This window comes from Homo sapiens, chromosome 15 (assembly GCF_000001405.40).
Source record: "Homo sapiens chromosome 15, GRCh38.p14 Primary Assembly".
NCBI lineage: Eukaryota > Metazoa > Chordata > Mammalia > Primates > Hominidae > Homo > Homo sapiens.
Window position 1 is genome coordinate 40,196,065 of NC_000015.10, and position 16,069 is coordinate 40,212,133.

The 16,069-nt window shown below is 38.2% G+C and overlaps 1 protein-coding gene and 1 long non-coding RNA gene across 2 annotated transcripts in view; one reads left to right on the forward strand and one right to left on the reverse strand.

The window, feature by feature from the left end:
- The window catches only part of BUB1B (BUB1 mitotic checkpoint serine/threonine kinase B), a 60,055-nt gene that overhangs the window by 34,996 nt on the left and 8,990 nt on the right, over positions 1-16,069 (forward strand). The window contains exons 9-18 of the mRNA NM_001211.6: positions 481-710; positions 3,551-3,663; positions 4,180-4,295; positions 4,867-4,916; positions 6,341-6,401; positions 6,525-6,630; positions 10,120-10,394; positions 12,573-12,706; positions 13,571-13,711; positions 14,046-14,146. Of these exons, the coding sequence (NP_001202.5) occupies positions 481-710; positions 3,551-3,663; positions 4,180-4,295; positions 4,867-4,916; positions 6,341-6,401; positions 6,525-6,630; positions 10,120-10,394; positions 12,573-12,706; positions 13,571-13,711; positions 14,046-14,146 (1,327 nt within the window). The remainder of the gene's footprint in view (positions 1-480; positions 711-3,550; positions 3,664-4,179; positions 4,296-4,866; positions 4,917-6,340; positions 6,402-6,524; positions 6,631-10,119; positions 10,395-12,572; positions 12,707-13,570; positions 13,712-14,045; positions 14,147-16,069) is intronic.
- Positions 1-16,069, reverse strand: part of LOC107984763 (uncharacterized) — a 67,810-nt gene that overhangs the window by 24,173 nt on the left and 27,568 nt on the right. The window lies entirely within an intron of this gene.

The window sequence follows — 16,069 nt, forward strand, 5'->3', positions numbered from 1 at the left end:
TCTAGGAGGGTTTTTCCAGTGTTATCGTCTAGAATTTTTATGGTTTCAGATCTTAGATTTAATTAAGTCTTTGATCCACCTTGAGTTGATTTTTTGTATAAGGTGAGAGAGGAGGATCTAGTTTCATTCTCCTACTTGTGACTTGCCAATTATCCCAGCACCATTTGTTGAATAGAGTATCTTTCCCCACTTTACGCTTTTGTTTGCTTTGTCAAAGATCAGTTGACTGTGAGTATTTGGCTTTATTTCTGGGCTCTCTATTCTGTTCCATTGATCTATATGCCTGTTTTTATACCAGTATTATGCTGTTTTGGTGACTATGGCCTTACAGCATAGTTTGAAGTCAGGTAATGTAAGGCCTCCAGATTTGCAGAACATAATTATTGATGGCCCTTGTAAATTATTTTTAGCTTCTTTTATCAATCTTATTGATTTTTTTTATTTTGACCCATATGAATAATAGTAATTTTGCTTCTTTAGGACACCATGTAAAATTGAACCTAGTATAAACCACATCCTAAGCACCAGAAAGCCTGGAAAGGAAGAAGGAGATCCTCTACAAAGGGTTCAGAGCCATCAGCAAGCGTCTGAGGAGAAGAAAGAGAAGATGATGTATTGTAAGGAGAAGATTTATGCAGGAGTAGGGGAATTCTCCTTTGAAGAAATTCGGGCTGAAGTTTTCCGGAAGAAATTAAAAGAGCAAAGGGAAGGTGTGTGTAATTCAAGTTTGTGAAGAGGACTTAACTTAGTTGTGTGAAGGTTGAGCTGACCTATTAAGTCTGAAGAAAACTAACCTTATAGTTTGTACCTTTGTATGATGTTTCTATGGTAGTACTGTTTCTTTCTGTGTATCAGCCAAAATCCCACTGCTGCCTTCTATGGTTGTACTGTTTCTGTGTATCAGCCAAACTCCCATTGCTGCCTTCCATGAAAACTCCTTGGGGTGTGGGGGCACTGAGTATGTTTAGAAGTAAAGGAAGAAGTTCTGAACTGTATGAACAATTTATATTCCCCAATACAATAAGCAAGCAGCTATGATCCCTGACATGCATATATGTACATTCCATGCATCCCTATTAAGTACTTTTCCTAATGTTATTGCTTGAAATATTTCACTTTACCTTTGATACTTTGTCTGAAATTTCTCCAAGGGCTTATTTAGATTAACATAGTAGGTCATACTGCAGTGATTTAGATTATAGATATTCGTATTGTTTTTTAAAGACATTATATTTCTAAATTAAAGGAAAAGGTTTAAAAATTGAGATATGGGGAATTTTTGGGAAACAGGAAGCAGTTCTGATTCTGGAGCCTGGAGTACTTGAAGGCAAGAGGTAGGGCAGAATGGGCTGGAAAGTAGGGAAGTAAGGCATATGGGGCTTAAGGCATGAGAAGGTGAAGGAGAATAAAGAAGGGTACAGAAAATGAGGTAGGGGAGGGTCCACTTCCATTTAGACATTTTTTATTAGGATCTGTAAGGAGAAAGTAATGTTTCTTTTATACATCCGTATCCAGAATAACCTACTAATATAGCTCAGCTCTCTTAACAGGATGTGGTGTTTGTGGGGTTAGCTGGGAAACTTAACCATCACTTATACTTTGAGGAGCAATCTTTTCTGAGTTCCAGGTGACAACCTGGAAGCAAACTTTGGTAAAGCAGACTGTTAGTAAGTTTGAAATTGCCTTCATTTGTTACACTAATTAGTGTCATCCAAGATTGTCAAAAGTGCTCTGGGTTCAAATGGAACTTGTGTGTCTAGGTAGAAGAGAGGGATGGTTGCAAAGCAAGGTGTTGAGTAAGGCTTTTAAAAAAGGAGAACCACTCCAGCAAAGAAATAGGCTAGGAGGGTGGCCAAATATGAACCAGAAAAGGAACTAGGTATCTAGATAAAAACTGTTTCCTAAGGGAAAAGCTTAGTCTGTACCAGATATATAGAAGGAAAATGAAAGTCCATTTTAGGGCCAGGCACAGTGGCTCACACCTGTAATCCCAGCACTTTGGGAAAAAAAGACCAGCCTGGGCAACATGGTGAATTCTCATCTCTGTGGGAAAAAGAAAAGGTACATTTTGTTTTCAACTAGCCAAAGAAGGACCTACTCTAGATTACATGGGATTTAATTAGGAATAAGAAGGCATTGACCTCTGAGAATTTTTTAATACTCATTTCTATTGTGTTTTTTTTTTTTTTAAATAGAGAGATGGGATCTCCCTGTGTTGCCCAGGCTGGTCTCAAACTCCTGGGCTCAAGCTATCCTTCCCACCTTGGCCTTTCAAAGTGCTGGGATTATAGGCATGAGCCACCATGCAGACCTTAATGCTTATTTCTAAGCTGGTCTCTGAATCTATTTCATGAACTTGTATAAATTCCCATCTGTGTATAAGTTTGTACCCTTACATAAATCCTCATTTCAATAAATGTGGTTTCTAGTTACTGTCAAAAACTGACTTCAAAGACTTGCCAACTACTTACTCTCAGGGAAAAATACAAGAAAAGAGGAAGCCACAATCAGGGCCTACACAAAGGTTGTTTTTTCTTTGCGTTGCACTTCCAAATCATTTTTTCCCTCTTCTTTCAAAAACTTTAGCTTCTTTCAGATTTCTGTCCTCTAATTCTTTTCTATCTCCTGAGCCTCCTTAGTGTACTCACCTCAGACTTTTCAGTCACACTCCATCATTCATTAATTGACTAATAAGCACATGGCTTACTATCTATGCCTCTTTACCCTAACCTGCAAAACCCTGCATGGCCAAGCATGGTAGCATGTGCCTGTAGTCCCAGCTACTCAGGAGAGTGAGGCAGAAGGATTGAGCCCACAAGTTTGAGACCAGCCTGGGCAATATAGCAAGACCCCATCTCCAAAAACAAACAAAACTCCATGTGGCTTAGCCTTTACCTACCTCTCCAACCCCATCTTTTTCTATTCACCCTCTTACTATGCTGCAACTACACTGGACTTCCTTTGGATTCTTAGACACAGTGGTCTTTTCCTGCATTGGGGCCTTTGTGCCACCTAGTTTGTTAGCCTAGAATCTTTCCCCAGAACTTTGGCCCCTTATCATTTAAATTACAGCTTAATACTGTCACTTTATCAGAATGATCTTCCCTGATCACTGGTCTTAAGTAGCCCTCCCTTGGCCTCCATCTCCCTACCCAGTCAAACATTCTCACGTCACCTATTTTATTCTTTTTCCTAAACTGATTTTCTTGTGTGTGTGTTGCCCCCAAATTTGAATGTTAGTATCACATAACCAAGGACTTTGTATTATGTACCACTGAAACCTAAGTACTCAGAGCTGTGCTTGGCACATAGTAGGTATTCAATGTTTTTTTCCTTTTAGTAGAAACCTGTGTTGTTCAAAGGTATTCTATTTTTTTATTGAATGGATAAAGAATAGAGGCCTAGACCACAAGTTGAGGACCTTATTCCACTTAAATCATTTTCATCTGTATTAGTAACATATATGTTGAGGAGATGAGCTCCAAAGGCAGTTTTTGACAGAATGAGTTACTATGAGGAATAATACCTCAAGCAACTTTACTGTTTCTAGCCGAGCTATTGACCAGTGCAGAGAAGAGAGCAGAAATGCAGAAACAGATTGAAGAGATGGAGAAGAAGCTAAAAGAAATCCAAACTACTCAGCAAGAAAGAACAGGTGATCAGGTAATTTTTCTTTTTTCATACACAAAACTAGAATTTATTGAAACAAATTTAAACATTATAAAAATATAGAAGGTTAAAGTCCTCCCAACCCCCATTTAGAGTTTCTGGTAGTTTCTTAGCTGTTAGTAGCCGGAAAGTTGAGCGGGAAAGTAATTTAACAGGTGACTTCAAATGGAATTTGTGGCATGTGAAATAAGTGGTGCAGTTTATTGACTTCTTAGTTATACTCCAAATCATTATGTTATTAATTCTGGCTTAAGCTTTTTATTCTAGCTATGTTCCATTAAAATGGGATTGCCTAAAGAAATTTAGTATATGCCTGGCACTGCTCAGTTGAGTACAACAGTACTGGTTTAGAGTAGGAATAAAAATTATTGGAAATGACTTTTGTGGTACACTCATTTTGTACTGTTAGTGGATGTCTAGGGAAAGAGTACAGTAAAGCTAATGTTAGAACTAGAAAATAGCATTTTCTGGATGGGAGGGACATTGATTTTGTTTATTTAATGCAAACAGCAAGAAGAGACGATGCCTACAAAGGAGACAACTAAACTGCAAATTGCTTCCGAGTCTCAGAAAATACCAGGAATGACTCTATCCAGTTCTGTTTGTCAAGTAAACTGTTGTGCCAGGTAAGACTACATAGGTGGAAGGGACAATGCATATAGGAGGGCATTTAGAACCAACCTTTGACTCTCTAGTGCCTTGAAGTCTCCTTGACGTTTACAGTATCGAGACATGGTTTTTGTAAGTCTCTGTCACAACATAAGCTTTGATGCTGATGAGGGAGGACAGAGCATTGACTATTTTCCACTGAAGAAACATGTTTCTTATAGAAACAAATACATATACTGTTTTTAAAAAACAAAATCACCCATTTCTACCACTAAGAGATGATTACCATTAACACTGTTCTGTCTCTTCTTTTGTGTTGTATTTTTGTTTTGTTTTATAAAAATGGCAGCTTACCATTTTGTAATCTGCTTATACTATTAATGCAACTTGACATCTATTATCAAATATATTTCTGCAACATTTTTGATAACCAAAGCTTCCATCTTCTTTAAGAGAATTTGAATTGACAGTAATAATTTATCTTAGAGTAAATATTATATTTAATGGAAAAGCCTCTTGGACTTTTAAAAATTAAACAGTTCTTTCTGTGGGTATTGAGCACATGATTTAAAACAAGTTTCTTTACAGAGAAACTTCACTTGCGGAGAACATTTGGCAGGAACAACCTCATTCTAAAGGTGAGTTGTATTTGACAGCCTTGAGAAGAACTTGCTGATAACAAATGTATTATGTAATAAATGGTAAATATTTTTAATTATGATAAAGGGATTGAAAGACAGGGGGACTAGGATACTAGGAATTTAGTATAAGCATATGCTTTATGATAGGAAAGACATTTGAAAGAGTATTTTTTTAAAGATTCCTCAGTGCTTCAAAATATTTGGTTTAATTGTAATTTTAAATTTACACTAACCACCAAATCTTATACTTTAGTTACTGTACACTAAACAGCAAAGACACTAAGGGAAGTGTTTCTTTTCAGGGAAAAAAAAATTTAAAGCTATTTTATACTCAAATTGGTTTTCTTTTCTTCAAAATGTGTTAAAAGTGGTGAAACATGAATATCTACTTGTAAATGGTTTGGCAAAAATAAAAATAAAAAACATTAAAATCTAATTAAACCTCTGTTTCTAACCGTCAATTTATTGGAAATATAAAGCATGGAGGAACGTTGTTAAACAACACAGCGGGATGGAATTGGCAAAATCCAGCATTATGGGGCTAGCAACCCAGTTTGTTCAACAAAAATTCCCCCCAAAACTCTATAGAATAAAAGAGATTTAAGAGGCATTTGAACAGTCACAGTATACGGATCTTAACTCTGCATTCCCAATTCAAACAAACTTTAAAAAAATTTTTTTTTATTTATTAATATTTTTTTGAGACTGAGTCTCGCTCTGTCGCCCAGGCTGGAGTGCGGTGGCGCGATCTCAGCTCACTACAAGCTCTGCCTCCTGGGTTCATGCCATTCTCTTGCCTCAGCCTCCCGACTAGCTGGGACTACAGGCGCCCACCACCACGCCCGGCTAATTTTTTTTTGTATTTTTAGTAGAGACGGGGTTTCATCATGTTAGCCAGGATGGTCTCGATCTCCTGACCTCGTGATCCGCCCACCATGGCCTCCCAAAGTGCTGGGATTACAGGTGTGAGCCACCACACCCGGCCAAAACATTTTTTTAATTGGTAAAATATGAAACTTCTCACTGGACATTTGATATTATATATATATTCATAAATTGTTCATTTTATAGGTAGGTATCATGTTTTGGGATTGGGATTTTTAAAAAGCCTCTTTTAGAAATATATACTGAAATATTTGCAGATAAAATGACATGTCTGGAATTTGCTTTAAAATAATCCTGTTGGGTTGGGTTTGGGGAGTAGTGACAGTGGTAGAGAATCTAAATGGAACAAGATCATCTAAGTTTAGGTAATTGGTAAATTGTTTAATGACCTTTTATATGTTTGAAGCTTTTTGTTATTAAAAAAACAGGTTGCCTTCCTGCTTTCAAACAACACAAAATATTGATTAATTTATCTGGTTGTCTTGAAGAGTAAAGCATTTACTCCTAGAGTATGTATCTAGTCTCTCTTTCTCTAGGTCCCAGTGTACCTTTCTCCATTTTTGATGAGTTTCTTCTTTCAGAAAAGAAGAATAAAAGGTACGTTGTTTTTTTGTTTTTTTGGTTTTTTTTTACTTAAGAATTTTCTGTTATTATAAGTGAGGATAAATTAGGGGTTACTGTTATGAAAAAAATTGCTAAGTGAGGTATGTCTTTTTCCAGTCCTCCTGCAGATCCCCCACGAGTTTTAGCTCAACGAAGACCCCTTGCAGTTCTCAAAACCTCAGAAAGCATCACCTCAAATGAAGATGTGTCTCCAGATGTTTGTGTAAGGAGCAGTATCCTTAAGTTAATGTAAATGGGCTAGTGGATTGTTTATTCAAAACCACAAAAGCTTAAGGTTAAAATTGAAACCACTGACTTGAATTAAGCACATGAAAAGATGCTCAGCATTACTACTCAACAGGGAAATGCAAATCAAAACCACAGTGAGATACTACTTTATATCCTCTAGGATAGCTATAATAAAAAATTACGCACAGTAACAAGTGTTGGCAAAATTGTGGAGAAATTAGAACATACATTACTGGTGGGAATGTAAAATGGTGTAGCCACTTTGGAAAACAGTTTGGCAGCTCTTTAAAATGTTAAACACAGTTACCATATGATCCTGCAGATCTCTGCCCAGGTATATACTCAAAATAATTGAAAACACATGTTCATACAAAAAATTTGTACACAAATGTTCATAGCCGTATTACTCATGATAGTGGAAACAACCCCAAATGTCCATCAACTGATGAATGGATAAACAAAATGTTATGTATCCATACCATGAAATATTATTTGGCAACAAAAAGGAATGAAGTACTAATACCTGTCACAACATAGATGAACCTTGAAAACGTTATGTCAAGTGAATGAAGCCAGATACAAAGACCACATACTATATGATCTAATTTTCATGAAATATCCAGAATAGGCAAAAGTGTCATGGATTGAGGTTTTCCAGGGGATTAGAGGGTGGTGGAGAGTGACTGCTAATGGGTATAGGGTTTCTTTTTGGAGTGATGAAAGTATTCTGGAATTAGATAGTGATGATGGTTGTACAACCTTGTGAATTTACTAAAAACCACTGAAATATACTTTAAAAGGGTCAATTTTATGGTATATGAATTATATCTCAATTTTTATAAGTAGGGAAAAATCACTAATTTTAAAGCCTTTTGTACTTTTAATTTTTTAACCAACATAGCAAAAGACATTTGTTCTTTTTTATATAAAATACCTTTTTTGGCAATGCAAAAGTTATGTGGGCCAATCATTTTTCTTCAGTAATGTTCTATATTAACCGCTATAGACTAATGACATAATACTTAAGGTAAAAAGACCCTGTGTAGACATTTAAGTCAAAATAAATAACCTGTATCATTGGCATTTTATTAAAGTTTTAAGGAGGAAAAATCATTCTCTTCAAACCAGCCTCTGGAAGCTTGTCATGAGACTGAAAAGAATTGAGTATGTTTAATCTGAAGACTTTTAAGGGGTGATGTGAGCAGTAGCTTTAGTAACTTAAAGCAGTGTTTTCCACATCCTAGGGAATCATTTGGAGGAAGTTTTTTAAAAGCACTTTTTCATTTTAGTTTCTTCTCTGTTGATGTATATTTTATATCCAGTAAACTGCACAAATATTGTACAGCTAGATGAATTTTTCCATGCAATTTTTTCCCATATCAAGATACAGAATATTTCCATCAACTCAGAAGAGACTAGCGAGTCTTTTGTGACTAACAGTGCTTAAGCCCCATTCCATCTAGGTGCCATTGGAATTTCCAGGGAAGAAGTCCAAGCATGTATTTTTGTCTTTTTAAAAATACTTTCTCAGATAATTCTGCTACAGTTAGTCTACTGACTGCTATGAAAAGACAGTGATGTAAGAGTAATTAATTACATATTGTGTTCTGGAGTAAACCACCAGAGAACATGATGAACAGGCTAGATTTGGATACAGTGGTTCTAGATTCAGCTGTTCAAGGATATGCTTAATTGTTAAAGGAGTCCAACTTCATTTACCTTTTTTTTTTTTTAACCAGTCTTTTACTTGAATTTTGTTAATAAGTACCTACCAGAATTTTCATCCCCTAAAAAAATCATATTTAAAATGTCTAAGCTAATATGGCCATAAGTAGTATTTGCATAAAATGTATAGATTATAAACATCTATTTTACTTTAATCACATATATAAATACATATATATGTATATATATATTTTTTTCTTTTTCTTTTTTAGACAGGGCCTCGCTCTGTCACCCAGGCTGGAGTACAGTGGCATGATCTCAGCTCACTGCAGCCTCTGCCTCCTGTACTCAAGCATTCCTCCCACCTCAGCCTCCCAATTAGCTGGGACTACAGGTGTGAGCCACCATGCCTGGCTAATTTTTTATTTTTTGGAGAGACAGGGTTTTGCCATGTTGCCCAAGCTGGTCTCAAACTCCTGTGCTCAAGTGATCTTCCCACCTCAGCCTGCCTCCCAAAGTGTTGGGATTACAGGTGTGAGCAAATGTACCTGGCCAAATCTTTTTTTTTTTTTTTTTTTTGAGACTGAGTTTCACTCTTGCACTCAGGCTGGAGTGAAGTGGCGTGATCTCGGCTCACTGCAGCCTCCGCCTCCTGGGTTCAAGCAATTCTCCTGCCTCAGCCTCCCGAGTAGCTGGGATTACAGGCGCCCACCACCACGCCCAGCTAATTTTTGTATTTTTAGTAGGGACGGGGTTTTGCCATGTTGGCCAGGCTGGTCTCGAGCGCCTGACCTCAGGTGATCCACCCAACTCAGCGTCCCAAAGTGCTGGGATTACAGGCGTGAGCCACTGCACCCGGCCTATAATTTTTTTTTTAACTATACTTTGTTTCTTCCAGATGTACCTCCCACCTTTAGTTACTAAGTCAGAAATTCAAAGTATGTGTCAAATTGGTAATGATCTAGAAAATTAATCTCTGGTATCCATATGGGTTAAATCAAATAGGCACTATTTGTATACTACAGGTAAATATGTAAAGTGGTATAATCTCTCTGAGGACAGCTAAGTAATATAGATAAAGAACTTTAGTGTTTATAACCTTTTGACCTTACAATTCTACTTTTAGGAATTAATCCTAAGAAAATTAAAGGATTTATAAAGATTTATGTATAAGGATAAAGTAGTTTTAAACTAGTAAAAAACAGAATAACCTGAAAGTTGGTTAATTTCTTATAGACCCACAATGTGGCCATTATGTTTTTAAAGAATTTTTAATAGCATAGGAAGGAAGAAATACAAAAAGTATGAGAAAGAGCAATACAGAGTATCATGAATGCTACAGTTTCACTGGTTGTAAAACTGCTTTTCAAATGCATAGAATATGCTATGCATATATCCTACCAGACATACATGAATTGTCTTTAAGAAATAAATAAAAATTAGGTATGTAGCATAGAGGAAGAAGACCTAAAAACTAGGAGGATAGCAAATCATTAGAATATTTACTAAGTGAAAGCAGAAGAAAAATAGTATTTGTGCTTTAGTTCATAGGTGAAATTTGTTGAGGAACAAAACCATTGCCCAATATTTTTCTTTGTATGGAGAATCTTCCTGGTACATTTTTTGGATGAAGTATAGTTTACTGTGTTCATGATATAAAAACCTTTTTATATTTGCCTAGATATTCTGATATGCTATTTCTGTACCCTGTGTCACTGAGCTAATATGTCTCTCTCAGTAAAAAAGTTCTTCATGTATTGAAATATTTTAGCTAAACTTTATATGGTCTTTATTTCAGGATGAATTTACAGGAATTGAACCCTTGAGCGAGGATGCCATTATCACAGGCTTCAGAAATGTAACAATTTGTCCTAACCCAGAAGACACTTGTGACTTTGCCAGAGCAGCTCGTTTTGTATCCACTCCTTTTCATGAGATAATGTCCTTGAAGGATCTCCCTTCTGATCCTGAGAGACTGTTACCGGAAGAAGATCTAGATGTAAAGACCTCTGAGGACCAGCAGACAGCTTGTGGCACTATCTACAGTCAGACTCTCAGCATCAAGAAGCTGAGGTGATTGGGGATTTACAGGTTTTACAAACCAGATTGTTTACTCTCTTATTCTGCATGTGCTTGTCAGTTACAGTAATCAGTTATCAAGTTCTTACTAACTGCCAGGTACTGTGCTAAGTGCTTTACATGAGAGTAGGGCTGCCCCAGATGAAGTGTCAATGGGATTTAGTGATTGATTTGGATGTGAGGGTTAAAAGTAAATTTTGATGGTAGAGAAACTAAGTGGTCCGAGAGGAGTATAGTACCATTGAGGAAACTTTGCAAAGTGTACATGACTGACGAAAAGGAGGCATTTAGTTTTTCTTTAATATTGAGTTTAAAATAGTGGTAGGATAGCTTTTGTTAATTTTATGTATTTATTTATTTATTGAAATGGAGTCTCACTCTGTCGCCCAGGCTGGAGTGCAGTGGCACTATCTTAGCTCACTGAAACCTCCGTCTCCCGGGTTCAAGCGATTCTCCTGCCTCAGCCTCCCAAGTAGCTGGGACTACAGGTGCGCACCATCATGCCTGGCTTATTTTTATATTTTTAGTAGAGACGGGGTTTCGCCATGTTGGCCAGGCTGGTCTCAAACTCCTGACCTCAGGTGATCCACCCGCCTCGGCCTCTCAAAGTGCTGGGATTACAGGAGTGAGCCACTGTGCCTGGCCAGCTTATGTGAATTTTAAATAGGCAACTAGAGATGTGTTTTTTAAAAAACTATCTTTTGATAGAGAGGTGGAAATGAACTATGGAATAGATATGAGGGAATGGCTTATGGCCAGGGTCTGACACTTGTTTTAGGTCAGCTAATTTAACTAATTCCAGTTTTAGGAATTCTTTGTAATTGGCAAATTTTTGCTTTTAAAGCTACATTTTGAGAGGCCAGATGCAGTGGCTCACCTCTGTAATCCTGGCACTTTGGGAGGCTGAGGGAGGCGGATCATTTCAGGCCAGGAGTTGAAGACCAGCCTGGTCAACATGGCTGTACTCAAAAAAACTTTTTTTTGAAACTTTTTCCCTACAGGCTTTTAAGCACATTTGCTAGCATGTATTCACATTGCATGATTTGGGTTTCTCTTTTCTTTGCCTAACCTTTTCTTCTTGAAGAAAAAAAAGTCCAGAGAAAGGATAAAGAGGAAGAAAGTGTCAATGTTAGTGTTTCTCAATATTATGGAATATAGAGTAGATATTTACTATAGGTAAATAAAGCATAAATCCAGAAATGTATGCTGGACATGGCTTATTCACCAGGTTTAGAGGAGGTTACCTAGATTCTGATTTGGGGAAATAATGGACTTGAAAAATGAGACTATTGCTGAGTGCATTGGCTCTTGCCTGTAATCCCAGCACTTTGGGAGGCTAAGGTGGGAGGATCACTTGAGGCCAGGAGTTTAAGACCAGCCTGGGCAACAAAGTGATGCCTTGTGTCTAATAAAAATAAAAAAAAAAAATAGCTAGGCATGGTAGCACTCACCCAGCTATCATTTCCTGGGCTCAAGTGATTCTCCCACCTCAGCCTCCCAAGTAGTCCCAGATATTAGCTTTTTTGTTTTACAACCTTTCAGCTACTTGGGAGGCTGAGGTGGGAGGATCACTTGAGCCCAGGAAATCAAGGCTGCAGTGAGCCATGATCGCACCACTGCCCTCCAGCCTGGGTGACGGAATGAGATCCTGTCTCAAAAATAAAATGAAAAGTAAAAAAAAAAAATGAGGCTATCAAATAAATTGATAACAAATTATAAATTATTTAAACCTAAATTTTATTGTGTTAAAAAATAAAAGAATAACATAAAATTATAAAATGTGTACATTAAGGCCAGGTGCAGTGGCTCACGCCTATAATCCCAGCACTTTAGGAGGCTGAGACGGGTGGACCATCTGAAGTCAGGAGTTCAAGACCAGTCTGGCTAACATGGTGAAACCCTGTCTCTACTAAAAATACAAAAATCAGCTGGGCATGGTGGCAGGTGCCTGTAATCCCAGCTACTCAGGAGGCTGAGACAGGAGAATCACTTGAACCCGGGAGGCAGAGGTTGCAGTGAGCCAAGATCATGCAGTTGTGCTCCAGCCTGGGTGACAAGAGCAAAACTCCATCTCAAAAAAAAGAAAAATGTATACATTAAGAATTTATGAAATTATAACAAAGTTGATATATATTATTCCTATAAGAATTAACTTATTTTTGATTCTTTTAGCCCAATTATTGAAGACAGTCGTGAAGCCACACACTCCTCTGGCTTCTCTGGTTCTTCTGCCTCGGTTGCAAGCACCTCCTCCATCAAATGTCTTCAAATTCCTGAGAAACTAGAACTTACTAATGAGACTTCAGGTAGGATATACATACCACTATATCCATGCCTAGTGAACACTTGTTTATCTCAGCAAACTGAGCTGTATGTTTTTCTTTTTTTGAGACAGGGTCTCACTCTGTCACCCAGGATGGAGTGCAGTGGCACAATCAAACTCACTGGGCTCAGGTGATCCTCCTACCTCAGCCTCCCGAGTAGCTGGGACCACAACTGTGCCACCACCAATTTTTGTATTTTTTGTAGAGGTGGGGTTTCGCCATGTTGCCCAGGCTGGTCTCAAACTCCTGGCCTCAAAGGATCCTCCCGCCTCAGCCTCCCACTCCCTGGGATTATAGGTGTGAGCCACCATGCCCAGTCTATGTGTTTTTCCTTCTTAAAGAAGTTGCCGGCCGGGTGCGGTGGCTCACGCCTGTAATCCCAGCACTTTGGGAGGCCGAGGCGGGTGGATCACGAGGGTCAGGAGATCGAGACCATCCTGGCTAACATGGGGAAACCCCAACTCTACTAAAAATACAAAAAAATTAGCCGGGCATGGTGGCGGGTGTCTGTAGTCCCAGCTACTCTGGAGGCTGAGGCAGGAGAATGGCGTGAACCCGGGAGGCGGAGCTTGCAGCAGTGAGCCGAGATGGCGCCACTGCACTCCAGCCTGGGCAACAGAGCGAGACTCCGTCTCAAAGAAGTTGCCATAAATTGTGAAATTTCTAGAGTAGATTAGTACGAAGTGAACACAGTTTCATAAACACCTGAGACAGGTGAGTGTAGTTAAATTAACAGTGCTGACTGTGTAATCTTGATTTTTTTTTTCTTCTACTCTGTTATAATATCCATTTTAAGCATTAGGGTTTTTTTGGTGATATATTTTCACCTTTCCCTCCCACTGGCAGAAAACCCTACTCAGTCACCATGGTGTTCACAGTATCGCAGACAGCTACTGAAGTCCCTACCAGAGTTAAGTGCCTCTGCAGAGTTGTGTATAGAAGACAGACCAATGCCTAAGTTGGAAATTGAGAAGGAAATTGAATTAGGTAAGTACCATTGAACTCATGTCCTCTGGTTCATGACAGTATACAAATAAGTGATTATTTGTACTTAAGCTTGATGCTTGAGCACTGTAAATATTCCTAGATTGTATTTTTTAAAAAAGCAATATAGAGGATGACACATCAGTAACTTCATGTCCTAATAATAGGAATTATGTCTTCTCCTCTTGCAATCTTTAACAAATTATTTTTAAAAGTATTCTAGATACTACTAACTGGCAAATACACCAGTGCCTCTATCCCTTAAACCAGGAGGTAAAAGCTACAGGGCTGTATATGTTCACAGTGATTTTTAAATGGAATCAAACTTTCTCAACAGGTAATGAGGATTACTGCATTAAACGAGAATACCTAATATGTGAAGATTACAAGTTATTCTGGGTGGCGCCAAGAAACTCTGCAGAATTAACAGTAATAAAGGTGGGACTGATTCTTTATAATTTCAGTTACTTTGTAAATAATACGGATTGGAGCAATAACTGTCCTCATGTTACCATCAAATCTTTCTAATAATCTCTTTCAATATGTCCAAATATATTAAGTATCCTTTCAGTTTCATTTTTTTTAGGAAATCTCTGCTGATACTTTCTGGCCTGCTCCAATCTGGACAAGTTATACATTAGCTTTCACACAATCACCACACACAATCACCTTGGAATTTCCATTTATTATCATCCTAGGTATTCACATTACCTTTGTCTTATATTGGATACCTAGTTTCTTTTTATCTTTGTTTTTTAAAGGACACGGTCTCTGTCATCCAGGCTGGAGTACAGTAGCATGATCACGGCTCACTGCAGCCTCAACCTCTTGAGCTCAAGCAATCCTCCCACCTCAGCCTCTGGAATAGCTGGGACCGTAGGTGCACGCCACCACTCCCAGCTAATTATTTTTTGTAGAGACGGGGGCCTCTCTGTGTTGCCTAGGCTGGTCTTGAATTCATGGCTCAAGCAGTCCTCCCACCTTGGCCTCCCAAAGAACTGGATTACAGGCATCTAACTTTGCTTTTGAATTTTTTTGCCATTCTGAGTCTCAAAGCTTTGTGTGAAGTTATTTTTCCTTCTTTCTGGATCCTTATAGGATCTTATTCTTGTCCCCACTATTCTGAAATGTCACAATTACATGCCTTTTCATAAGTTTGTTGTCACTTATGTGCTAGGTACTCAATGGCCATTTCAATCTGTTAATTCCCTCAGTTCTGAGAAATTTTCTTCAATGGGAAAATTATTTTTCCCCTCAGTTTTCTCTGTTCTCTTATTCTCTAATTCCTTTTATTAGAGGTGTATATGGCATCTTTGGACAGAACCTCTAAAAATTTAACTTTTTTTCTCCTATATTCTCTCTTTGTCTTTTTACTTTACTTTCTGAGTATATTATCAGCTTAATATTTTTGGTCTTTTTACTAGGTTTTTATTTCTATATTTAATTTTCAAGAGCTCTTTTTAAAATTTTTTACCCCTTTGTCATCTGTTTCTTCTTGTTTTCTTTTTTGTCTGTTTTGATCTCTCTCACACTACAGGCTTTCTTCAAGTCTTTGGCTCTCTATTCGTATTTAAGTATGGGACATTGAAAGCTCTGTGTATATGGAAAGACCTTGACAGCTGTGGACCTCAATGTAGGATGATCTAGTTTGGCCATTTTATTGGAAAACCCTCCAATCTTTAGATCCTTTCTCTTGACCTGATCATAGAAGTCTTCTCCCTCAGAGAAGACTTCTAATTTTCTGCCTGGAGCATATAAGCCTGGCTGCTAGCTTTCTGAAATCTGAGTGAGGAAATTGGTCTGAAGAATAGAAGAGCAGGGAGGTGCATCTTAACTGCTGCATATATAACATCTGATATATATACTTTTTCCTGTTTTCTATGTTATTTCTACCCCCCTCAGTGGTGCCTAGTGCCCTCTAGTCCAGAGCCCTTCTGTTTTATACTCACTAGGTAATAAACTTCTGGACTTCGAGAATAGGGGAGAGGTAGTTGCTGGGCTGGGCTATGGGAGCAGAGGAGGGAAGCTGGGGTCTACCTTCCTGTTTTTTTGTTTTTTTTTTTCTTCGAGACGGAGTTTTGCTCTTGTCACCCTGGCTGGAGTGCAATGGCATGATTTTGGCTCACTGCAACCTCTGCCTCCCAGGGTCAAGCGATTCTCCTGTCTCAGCCTCCCGCGTAGCTGGGATTACAGGCACCCGCCACCAAAAGCCTAGCTAATTTTTTGTATTTTTAGCAGAGACGGGGTTTCACCCCTTCATAATCATTGGTCAGGCTGGTCTTGAACCCCTGATGTCAGGTAATCCACACGCCTCAGCCTCCCAGAGTGCTGGGATTACAGGCATGAGCCACTGCACTAGGC